Source organism: Homo sapiens, chromosome X (genome assembly GCF_000001405.40).
Source record: "Homo sapiens chromosome X, GRCh38.p14 Primary Assembly".
In the NCBI taxonomy this organism is placed as follows: Eukaryota; Metazoa; Chordata; class Mammalia; order Primates; family Hominidae; genus Homo; species Homo sapiens.
Genome location: NC_000023.11, coordinates 55,707,636 through 55,719,939, shown reverse-complemented (window position 1 = coordinate 55,719,939; position 12,304 = coordinate 55,707,636). Strand labels below are relative to the sequence as shown.

Below are 12,304 nucleotides of genomic sequence, written 5' to 3'. Positions count from 1 at the left end.
ATTTTACAAATGAGGAAACTGAAGCCCCAAAAGGTTAAGAAATTAGCTTGAGCTGCACTCTTAGCAATTCTGCCTAAACCCCAACGTAGGGCACAGTACTATGAGAGCACAAAGGAAGGTGTGTCCAATTCTATCTGAAGAACTCAATAAGACCTTATAGTGGTAACACTTGAGTTAGGTTAAAAATAAATGTGCAGACAGAGGCCTGTATGGTGTGTGTATATGGCTTACACAAAGTGCAAATTAATTTGTAAATCTGGAGAACAATAAATTCTGTAGGGCTGTGATAGGGTGCATAAGTGTGGCACAGGGTTTGGTCAGGAACAGATTTTAAAGGGCCATGAAATCATTTGGATTTTATTCCATGGGCTTAAAGAAGTTACTAAAGGTTCTTAAGTATGTAGATGACTCAGTCGGATTTTCATATTAGAAAAATTAAATCTGATAGCATACAAGGAGAAGAGAGTCAGACAGACCACACAGAAGGCTCCTGCAATAGTCCAGAAAAGATGGTGTATATATGTCACAAAGTTCCTGAATATCAACTTCTTACCTTTACCTTCATGGTTTTGACGTATCTAACACGTCTTACCTTTTTCTTCATGGCTGTATTTGGTAGCACCCACCTGCAGATATAAACCAAAAAACAGTTTCCATGATCCAATTCCCTTAGAAATTGAAATTAATGAAGTATAAATAAACATGGAGGTACAAAAGAGCATGTTTAGTACAACGGCTGAGTACAGCTGTGTGTGTGGGACCTCAGATGAATAGAGGTCCCATTTTCCTAAATTATAAAACTGTGTGTATACTCTCTATCTCCTAATTAGAAGTTCAAGAGAGAACTCCTAGGAAGATTTATTTAGGAATACAAATGAGCCATTAAAATTCAAGATTCAATTTTTCATCATCTTAATCAAAGCAACACAGCTGCTTTAATCAAACAATATCTTCTATTTCTAAAAAAACAGAATATATTGATATCCTCTACTTGAGGACTGAGTATTGAATATCTTCTATGTATAAAAAACATTCAGCCTCCTAATTTTAAAATCTGGAAGTATCTTTTTAGTCCTTCAGCTGTCCTTCCAAGCCCTATTTCACTCATCACAGACACAAAGTAGATGTAAGTCTCAAATTCAGGTACAAATTGGCACAGAAAACACCCTCAAGCTCTGACCTGGAAATGCAAATCTTCTTTCTAGTCTTTCCATCCCCAACCTGGTGACAGCAAATCTCCTTTACTGATAATTCAAAGCAACTCATAACTGCTTTAATTAGAACACTCCCCCAGCACCACCACCAGGAATATCAGCCCCTTCCCAAGGGTTGTTTCTGATCAGTTAGCACCAATTCGCTTTCCAGTTTATCCTGTCGTCCAAAGCATAATCCCAATCAACATTACTGGTAAATCAAAGCAATTTATCATGGTGCGGGGTGGGGAGAAGTGTTCTAATTCACAATACTCTCTTCAATTTGAACACCCCCACTTCCAGGTTTCACAAATACCCTTCACCCACCCAAGCGATCCTTCCGGTTCCCCTAGTGGTGGATCCATTCTCGGCCCCAGATTTTCTTTCTCCGTCGTTTTCTCAGAGTCAGATTCTTCCATTGCGCAACAAGTCCTTTCCAGTCCCTTCTAAATCTTCAGTACTCTTCAGGGTTTGTTGTTGTTGTTTGTTTGTTTTCTTTTTCACCCCTCAACTGCCTATTCTCATCGCCTATGGCCCTCAGGCCTGCTCTATTCTTGCCTCCGCCTTTGTCCACTGGGGGGCCGCTTTCCCCACGGTTACCTTTATCTCTCGAACCTGGCCTCAAGGCACGGCCGAGCTGGCTAGCTTTAAGGCCAAGTGATTCCGTGGTACAAAGTAAGAGTTGGAGAATGACAGGAAAAGAGAGGTGGGTTAGGGGTTCGTCCCGAGTTTGGGCCTCAGGCCCCCAAGGTCTGGAAACCCAAAGGTAACTTCACCCGCAAAGAGGTGAGGACCGCGAAGGCGGAGGTGGCAGAAAGAGCTGACCCATGCCGTAGGCACTAAGCGGAGAACGCCTCAGCTGGCTCGTGGCTTCCGAGCCCGGCCGCTCGGAGAGTCAGCCGGCGGGGGCAGTAGTTACGACCTAACCACCCGCCCTTCAGGAACCCAGGTATCTCACCGCAGCCACCCAACTGCAGGCCAGGATCACGTGGGCATCTGCCTTACCCCGGAGTCTGTCACGTGACTGCCGCTACCAAAGGGACGGGTGGGCTGGGAAGAATACCATAGAGACAGCTCCAGGAAAGCCAGAGTGCCGTCTGTCATCATCACGTGGCCTTGGCTCAGGCTCCGCCCCTCGGGCGGGGTAGGGCGCTGGGAGCCTTCAGCCTCTCTAATGTGGGTGGGCCTGGCCCCACCCATCCGCTATGGAGAATTAAAGGAGCCGGTTGCAATTTCAGTGCCTCTGAGCTTCTCTTTTTTACTGCTGGTTACCGGTAATGGTTTTTGACTGGGAAGACCGAGCATTGTCTTTGCCTTCCTGCTTTTTATTGTTAATTCTTGCAATCGAGTTTGTAATTAAATGATTAATACATCCAAAGCGCTTAGAACTGTGTCTTCCACATAGCAAATACTGTATAAATTATCGTTATTGCTGAAACCAGGGATTCATCAGGAATTTTAACACACACATTCATCTTCCCACTTGTTTAAAACAGGAAGTGAAGGAAGTACCATAGTAAGAAGTCAATAAATAAAGTCTAGGGCTGGGAGTGGTGGGTCATGCCTTTAATCCCAGCACTTTGGGAGGCTGGGGAGGGAGGATCACTTGAGGCCAGGAGTTCAAGACCAACCTGGCCAACATAGCGAGACCCCATCTGTAAATAAGTGAAGTCTAGAATTGAGAACAGAAAGACTACTGGTAGGGATATGCACACCAGGAAAAATGCCCAGAGGGGTTCAAAGATGTTCCTTCTGGAGAATGGGGTAGGGGATAGGACGTGATATGTCAGGGGACTATTATTTTTTATCTGAAGCCCTTCTGTGCTATATATATTTCTATAATGTATAAATGATATATAATAATAAGATTAATATGACATTTAATTATATTTAATATAATCAACTAATACTTAAATAATATGTTATAAATATGTTATTTTAAATAAATGTGTAGTTTAATTATATTATTTATAATTAATATATGATATACTACATGTATTATTTACACGTAAGTGTGTACATATATTACTTTGATAAGAAAAAAAGGGAAGGAAGGAAGAGAAACTGCAGGAAACAGAGTACTATTATTGAAACTGCCTTTGCAAAAACTGTAACTGAGGAAATTATGACAGTGAAAGAGATCAGACCTCACCGACTCCATCTTACATCTAACCTTTAAGGTGTCCTTGTTCATTCCTGGGCGTAGGCCGAACTAACCTTGGGAAGGAATTTAGTTTATAGTTTAACTCTGATACAAAATTGATAATAGCCCTTTCTCCCTCCCGCTGCCCCCCACTAAAAAAAAACAAAAAAACAAAAAAACCTTCTTACCTGGGAACCAGTCGGCCTTTGCAGGACTAACAAATTAGCCACAAGATTACAAGATTAGAAATTACAATTCAGGGGCCATGCAGCCTCCAGCTGCAAGAGTCTGAACCTCCCCAAATTGCTCCCAGGAATAACATCACTGTTTTAAAACCTAAGATCACTGTTTGATATGTTTTGCAGACCCTGCATTCAGATGCACCAGCTTATGATACAGGAGCGGGGCAGGAAAGTGCTGGGCAGAGAAAGGCGGGTCCGTGGCTAGGGCTCCACCCTGGGGCCTGTGCCCATGGACCTAGGTGAGGATAGGCACTCCTGCCTTCCCACCCAAATGTTATATTCACCCCTAGAGGTTGCCATGGGGTCGGAGCCCCACAGCCTGCCCCTCTGCATGCTCCCCCTAGAGGTTGTGAAGCAGTGAGCCACTCCCGCTGTGGCATGCCCTGCAAGGGGGATAGGGGAACTTCCCTCGTTTCACTTACAGCACCCAGACCAGTAATCTGGCCCAGCCAGTTCTGCGATCCCACCCAGGAACAGAAGATAGCAAGAAAAACTCACTTAGAGCCCCCTATGATTCCATATCCAACTTGACCAGTCAACACTCCCCACTTCCCAAGCCCCTACCCACCAAATTATTGTTAAAAATTTCAATCCCCCGAAACTGATTTGAGTAATAAAACTGCAGTCTCACCCACAGCTGGCTCTGCATGAATTACTCTTTCTCCATTGCAATTCCCCTGTCTTGATAAATCAGCTCTGTCTAGGCAGCAGGCAAGGTGAACCCGTTGGGCAGTTACACTGTCTGCTCCCACACTTTCCACTTGAGGTCCTGTGTGATTCCTTTTCTCCACAACTGCCTTGCCTCAAGAAAAAAGTTATTCTACTCTGATTAGTGATCCTTCGCTCTATCACTAGCTAATCTTTTGTCTCCTTCCAACCAACTACCCCCAAACAAGCTTCCATTCTGGCTTTCCTTGTCTGATGAAAGATCCTGAGTCCCAAACCAGGAAGTCACCTTAGATTCACTGCCCTCCATACGTGTCAATGAGACCAGGTCATGATCAGTCTATTTTCTACTACCTGCCTGCTCTTATTCTTACTGCCACTCTTTTTGTTCCAGCTATCATAATCTCTGGCCTAGATATCCACAATAGCCTACTAAGTGATTTTCCCACAGTGGCAGCTCCAAAGGGGTTGGGAGTGAGTGAGTTGATCTTCATTAGTCATCTCATCCCCCAAAACATTTGACGTAATTAATATGTGCTTGCTTTCTAAAGGCAGCTTTCAAATATGTCTTCCAACACCTACTGCCCCCGGGCTTCACCAGCCAAATTGGCCCCTTAAACCACTCTTTTATAAAAATGTACTGTCTCGGCCAGGTGCAGTGGCTTACACCTGTAATCCCAGCACTTTGGGAGGCCAAAGTGGGCGAATCACCTGAGGTCAGGAGTTCGATACCAGCCTGGCCAACATAGTGAAACCTCATCTGTACTAAAACTACAAAAATTAGCCAGGTGTGGTGGCACGCGCCTATAATCCCAGCTACTCGGGAGGCTGAGGCAGGAGAATTGCTTGAACTCAGGAGGCGGAGGTTGCAGTGAGCCAAGATCGCACCACTGCACTCCAACCTGGGCGACAAAGCAAGCAAAAAAAAAATACTGTCTCCCTGTTGCTGCTGGTATCCTTTTCCCCCTCCTTCAAACCATCCATCCTCTCTAAAAGCTGCTCAAGTGATCCTTTATTTTAATTAATTAATTAACTAGTTTTTGTTGAGACTGGGTCTCACTTTGTTGCCAGACTCAAACTCCTGGCCTCAAGGGATCTGCCCACCTTGGCCTCCCAAGGTGCTGGGATTACAGGTGCGATCAAATTTCTTTTTATCGTCGTTGTAGTTGTTGTTGTTCTTGTTGTTTTTGAGACAGGGTTTTGCTCTCTGACCCAAGCTGGAGTACAGTGGCACAATCATGGCTCACTGCAACCTCAACTTGAGTAATCTTTTAAACCACAAATCGGAGGAGACTACTTCTCTACTTTAAAATCCTCCCATAACTTAAGGAAAAAGTGTGTCAATACAAGGACCTTCAAGATCTGGCCTATAGCAACTCACGAGCTATATTTCTCTACCCACATTCACTACCTCACAAGCTTCATAAGGAACTGCTGATAGTTGCCTCAAAGTGCCAAGAGGCAAGAAGTAAGAAGAGGAAGAAACAGATAAAGAAGGGGAGGGGAGGGATGAAGAAGAAAAGGGGGAGAAGTGGGGAGATGGGAAAGAGGGAAGGAATAGAGGGGTAAGGAGAAGAGGAAAAAGGAGGAAGAGGGGTAGAAGGAAGGGAATGGAAGAAAGGTAGTGGAAAAGGATTGAGAAACTAAATCAAATAAGCATAGATTCCAAATAATGGTGAATAGGGCCAATGTGCAGTGCATTCCTATTGTAAATCAAAAATAAAATACCAAGGTTCCTCAACCATTTGAATGTGCTTTCTCCTCGGCCAGGGCACTCTTTAAAAATGTATCCTGAGTGACTTTCTGGCCATGACAGGAAGTAGGGGTCAAACATGCCTCATTATATTTCTCCAGCTTTAACATCAACACAGACCTTTAAATCTGATAAGAAGCATTTACATTCTATTCTTTCTGAACCTGCAGGCTTCCTGCATGATTAAACTTTAGTCTCCACAACCTCTTATCTTAACCCAAACATTCCTTTCTATTGATCCTAGGTCTTTAAACTCAACCAATTGTCAACCAGAAATTTTTTCAATCTACCTATAAGCTGGAAGCCCCCCTCCCACCCCCACTCCGAGTTGTCCCACCTTTCTGGGCCAAACCCATATATTTCTTACATGTATTTGACTGAAGTCCCTTGTCTCCCTAAAATGTATAAAACCAAGCTGCACCGCAGCCACCTTGGGCACTTGTTTTCAGGATCTCCTGAGGACTGTATCACAGGCCATGGTCACTCCTATTTGGCTCAGAATAAATCTCATCAAATGTTTTCCAGAGTTTGACTCTTTGTTGACACTATATAGTCCAGCAGTTCAGATTCTGGTTTCTACCCAGGTACCTTTGGCTGCTTATTTTTCACATTTTTATTCTTAAAAAAAAAAAAACCCTTACATACATAGGAAGCGGAGGTCACTTTTTATTTTTGTTGAATTAATTTTTAAACATTTAATTATAGGTTCTTTTCAGAAAGTGTGAACTAAGCTCTATTACTCACACATTCATTCAACAAATGTTTATTGAGCAGCCTTTCGGTGCCAGGAACTGTGTTGGACAGCAGGGATACAAACATCACTCTATTTCAGGTTCCACTGCCTGTCAGATGCTTCTGTCTTAACACCTCAGCTCCACTATACTCACACAAACATCAGCATTCCCTTTGTCTAGATCCCAACACATATATTTTTTTAACCATCCATCTCAGCAAGAAAAAGTAATACAGGCCCCCAACAAATCCTTTAATAAGTTTCATTTTATGCCCTAAATTCAATCTAGTTACCTGTATCTGCAAACATACTCCTGAGTCTCCAATACTCAAACTGTCACTCATAAGTTGCCTGCCCTTCTCCTCCTCCACCTTTCCCTTCTTCCTCTTTTTCCATAGCTCACTGCTACTTCCCAGAGCTCCTTAAGTTTACTCCTACATACTGCTAGCAGCTCTTTTCTCCCCATTCCCACATCATGGCTTAAAATATCACAAAATGTTCTATTTAACAAGATTTAACGACTTGATTGATGAAAACTTAATGTGGGGACTTTCAGTTTCCAATCCTACATATAAGGAGCTTAAAAGTCACCACTCCATGTTAACAATAAGTAAAAAACTGAACAAACTGAAAAATCAACAATTAGTCTTAATTCCTTTAGAGAAGTGAGGCCACAGGACACACAGCTGCTGCCAGAATTGGGGAGAGAGGCAAATACAGATAATGACAAGTTTCCAGACCAAAATTCCATGAGCAGAAGCCTCCATGGGAGCCATTACCTAGGTAGAAAAACCTGAACTGTCAGAGGTATTTGAACCAGAGCAACTCCATCTTTAGTAGGGGCTGGGTAGAATAAGGCTGAGACCTGCTGGGCTGCATTCCCAGACAATTAAGGCATTCTAAGTTACAGGATGAGATACAAGGTCAGCACAAGATACAGGTCATAAAGACCTTGCTGATAAAACAGGTGGCATTAAAGAAGCCGGTTAAAACTCACCAAAACAAAGATGGTGACGAGAGTGACCTCTGGTTGCCCTCACTGCTACACCAACCAGCACCATGACAGTTTACAAATGGCATGGCAATGTCAGGAAGTTACTCTATAAGGTCTAAACAGGGGATGCATGAATAATCCACCCCTTGTTTAGCATATCATCAAGAAATAACCATAAAAATGGGCAACCAGTGCCCCTTGGGACTGCTCTGTCTATGGAGTAGCCGTTCTTTTATTACTTTACTTTCCTAATATCTTGCTTTCACTTTATGGACTTGTCCTGAATTTTTTCTTACAACCACCAAAGGGACTATACTGCAGAAACACCTAACCCAAAGACTAACTTTGGGTAAGTGGTGGGGTCTAGTAACATCTTTTTGACAAACCTCGAAGGGACAATACTGAAGAAACAACCCGACCAAAAGGAAATAAACTGCAGCACTGATTGTCCCATTTTGGGTAAGTGGTGGGGTACCCAGGTAAAGGACGCGATTGGGTTAGAGGCCCAATTTAGAGGAGTTAAAGTCTCTCATAAGACAGAGTGGGTTAGAGGCCCCTCTTAATAAAAGGCAAGGACACTTGACCAACCTTGGGTTAGAGGCCCAACTTAGGAAAATTAGGTTCCCTTCTAAGACTTAGGGGGTTAGAGGCTCCTCTCAGTAAATTCCCTTTTGGCTAAGAATGAGTTTGGCACTACAGGATGTTAACTGCTATTATCTTTGGAATAATCTGCCTTGCACCCTTTGCTGTGGGTGACAGGATTAGGCATGTACAGGATAGTGGGATATGGGGGGCTTTTTTCTCCCCAAAAACGAGAAAGTTGAGAGCTGATGGGACTGCTGGAAAATATGCCTTCACAACTGAAAAGCGCCCATCTGAACTTTTGATTCAGTGTGGCTGCAGGGGGTGGGTCTTTTGCTTTACCTCCCTGAGTTCTTCACCTTCCCCACCCTGCCACAGGCAATGCTTTTCTTTCTCTCCCTTCTCTTTCCTATCTTTTCTATTACTCAGGGTGACCATCTTGCCCAGAGACCACAAGTTGAAACTCCTGGTCAGAGGTTGGATTAATGATAATGGGGCCCAACCAGGGGCAAGTTTGGGCCTTGCCAGTTTGATATTGCACAGTGGCTAATGTCTATGTTTTGTCATATGTATTTTGCTCTGGCCAGAACAGAAAATGATAATTTTCCTTAGTGTTGCAGCTTGGCCCCCAGGGCTATGGTGCAGGAAGCCGGGTCACTAGGTTGAATCAGGGAAAGGAAACCCAGAAGCCTGGCATGCTGGCAAAAGAGCAAGAATTTCTTATGAGTCAGACTTCTGGTCTCTCTCTCTCTCCCCCCGCTCCCCCGTGCAAACCAGTTGAAAGAATGGTAAAAATAACTGTTTATTTCCTGTGTAATGTTTGATTAATGGATAAAAAGGATTTATGAGGATTTGTGAGGCTAGTCTTAAGCTGTAGCAAATCTGGCATTCTTTGTATGTCTTTCTGTATTGTTCTGTCATAAAAGAGGAGTACCTTAGGATGGAACATGGCCCTAGGACCCCAGAGCCCACTATTCAAGATGGCCCAGAAAACTGGTTACAAACTTTGCTGCAGTTCCCTGAAAAAAAACTGGATGAGGTTTCCCTCTTGCCTTTTATGTCCTTGGAAGCTTGACATTATAACCACGTGGCCATGCTTTCTCTTTTTACAATAGTAGCCCAGGTTCAGGTTTTAATTCCTGGCTTGCAGAATGAGTCCTTTATCTTCTGTCTGTCTGTATAATTATATGTGTTATGTGTGTGTAATATAAAAGAGCATTAATTAATTGGTTTAATAATAATAAGAGCTTAAATTAAATATTTTGTCAGAAAAGTAAAAGTGTAATGCCTTTTATTTAGTTCATGTGACTTAATCTTTGGGAAATAAAGACCTTTCTAAATATTATTGGTAAAATAAAAATATCTTCAAAAATGTAAGCATTTGGTCTAAATTAAGCAGGTTAGACATTAAGTTTGCTAAATGCTTTAAGTCCATAAACTGCTTCTTTGACTTTTGAAAATTGTTCAATTTACCTAACTTGGACATTAGATTCTAGATAAGGCCTGGGGACAAGTTGAATTAGGCATGCTCCCTAGCTATGCAAAGAAAATTATAAAGAAAAGACATTTTATAAAACAAAGGATGTTGTATGGTAAATTCTTGTCCTAAAGTAAAACGAATAGTTGTTTAACAAGAGCAATGTTTAGGACAAGTCAGAAAGTCCAAGCATGTCATAGATGGTCTGTATAAGTCATGAAAGAATTTGCAAAGGGAATTTATGCAAGAAATGTGCAATTTAAAGGTGATTAGCCCTCCTAAATACTTCATAAAATGCCACTATGACTCTTAACTGTACAACTTGCCTGTTTTACAGCTAGGTAAGGCCTGGGACACATGAAGTTAGAGACTAGAAAGAGTCATACCTTATCTGCACTTCTATCTGAGTCCTAGGCTCCACATCTAGTACATAATTAAAATCCTAAACTTACCAAGGTTTTCATCGAAAGTAAAAATTGCCAAAAGTTAACACTGTAACATGTAATTAAGACTATTAAAGAAACAGTTCTACATGTAAGGCTTGTAAGGAAAGTGAATTGTGTTTTTGGTAAAAAAAAAATATATATATATATATAAAAAGTCATGGAAATGTGGATTTTTTTTTTTTTGCCAAAAGGGTTAAAGGATTGTTTTACATTATGATAAAGCTAAAGGTTTAAGCAAGTTGTGGAAGGTTTGTGAAAAACTATTTGTAAAAGAGATTCTGTATGTGGACATTGCCTAAAATTAAAGGAGTATTATTCAGTTTTTCTGTAAATTTAGCATTGGAATAAAAGCACAACAGGTTTTTCTTAGAGCAAAAACATGCTTATGATCTGCTCTTAAACAAAAATTTGAAAAGGGTATTAAAAGGTTTCTGAAAATCTTACCTTATGGTCAAACTGATTAAGATTGATTATATTTGTCTATAAAGTTTTATTAAGAATTGGGTTTGCATCATTCTCAGCAAACTAACACAGGAAAAGAAAACCAAACACCAAATATTCTCACTCATAAGTGGGAGTTGAAAAATGACAATGGACACAGGGAAGGAAACATAACATACCAGGGTCTGTCAGGGGGTGGGAGGCAAGGGAAGGGCTAGGATTAGGACAAATACATAATGCTCGCAGGGCTTAAAACCTAGATGACAGGTTGATGGGTGCAGCAAAGCACCATGGCATATATATACCTATGTAACAAACCTGCATCTTCTGCACATGTATCCCAGAACTTAAAGTATGTTAAAAAACAATATAAAGTAAAATAAAATAAAATAAAATAAAACTGGGTTTGACATCAATAATGCACTAATGCAATAGTGACATTTGGCTTATTTTGTGTAAAACTTATACAGGAAGCATTGTCAAATATGAAATGGTATTTGGCTTTCTTTGAGCTGTAATTCTATAAATGTGTTTTTGACATATGTTATAAAATTATGGATAACTATAATTCTGATATGACTTTGTATATGTTATTAATAATTATATTTGTTACATAAAATCATTTTACATCACAGAGGTAATCAAATTTCTTTGTGAATTGTGTTATTGTATTTTATTTTATTTTTATTTTTTAAATATACGTTAAGTTCTGTGGTACATGTACAGAATGTGCAGTTTTGTTACATAGGTATACACATGCCATGGTGGTTTGCTGCACCCATCAACCCGTCATCTACTTTAGGTATTTCTTCTACTGCTATCCCTCCCCTGGCTCCCCATGCCTGGACATGCCCCAGTGTGTGATGTTCCCCTCCCTGTGTCCATGTGTTCCCATTTTTCAAATCCCACTTACAAGTGAGAACATGCAGTGTTTGATTTACTGTTCTTCTGTTAGTTTGCTGAGAAAGATGGTTTCCAGCTTCATCCATGTCCCCGCAAAGACATGAACGCATCCTTTTTTATGGCTGCATAGTATTCCATAGTGTATATGTGCCACATTTTCTATATCCAGTCTATCATTGATGGGCATTCGGATTGGTTCCAGGTCTTTGCTATTGTGAATACTGCTGCAATAAACGTACGTGTTCATGTTTCTTTATATTAGAATGATTTATAATCCTTTGGGTATATACCCAGTAATGGGATTGCTGGGTCAAATGGTATTTCTGATTCCAGATCCTTGAGGAGTAACCACACTGTCTTCCATAATGGTTGAACTAATTTACACTCCCACCAACAGTATAAGAGTGTTCATATTTCTCCACATCCTCTCCAGCATCTCTTGTTTCCTGACTTTTTAATGATTGCCATTCTAACTGGCAGGAGATAGTATCTCATTGTGGTTTTGATTTGCATTTCTCTAATGACCAGTGATGATGAGCTTTTTTCATATGTAAGTAGGCTGCATAAATATCTTCTTTTGAGAAATGTCTGTTCATATCCTTCGCCCACGTTTAGATGGGGTTGTTTTTTTTCTTGTAAATATGTTTAAGTTTCTTGTAGATTCTAGATATTAGCCCTTTGTCAGATAGATAGATTGCAAAAATTTTCTCCCATTCTGTAGGTTGCCTGTT

At 41.1% G+C, this 12,304-nt stretch overlaps 1 protein-coding gene across 16 annotated transcripts in view, besides 2 other annotated features; it reads right to left on the bottom strand.

Moving 5' to 3' along the window:
• RRAGB (Ras related GTP binding B) overlaps positions 1-2,191 on the bottom strand; it is a 41,026-nt gene extending 38,835 nt beyond the window's left edge. For 14 of the 16 annotated variants that reach the window (NR_148685.2, NR_148691.2, NR_148692.2 and 11 more), the window contains exons 1-2: positions 1,521-2,191; positions 593-626 (exon numbers count right to left, since the gene is read on the bottom strand). Coding sequence is in view for 6 of the 16 variants with exons in the window: in NM_016656.4 (NP_057740.2) it covers positions 593-626; positions 1,521-1,612 (126 nt within the window). In the remaining 10 variants the exon portion in view is untranslated. The remainder of the gene's footprint in view (positions 1-592; positions 627-1,520) is intronic. The other 2 variants (NM_001354011.2, NM_001354013.2) reach the window with 1 other exon arrangement.
• Positions 1,573-1,702: an enhancer, noted in NCBI's record as "active region_29682". NCBI's record gives its function as "activates an Ori minimal core promoter by ATAC-STARR-seq in GM12878 lymphoblastoid cells {active_cell/tissue: GM12878}" and the evidence as "EXISTENCE:reporter gene assay evidence [ECO:0000049][PMID:35858748]".
• Positions 1,863-2,062: an enhancer, noted in NCBI's record as "active region_29681". NCBI's record gives its function as "activates an Ori minimal core promoter by ATAC-STARR-seq in GM12878 lymphoblastoid cells {active_cell/tissue: GM12878}" and the evidence as "EXISTENCE:reporter gene assay evidence [ECO:0000049][PMID:35858748]".
• Positions 2,192-12,304: the final 10,113 nt, after the last annotated feature.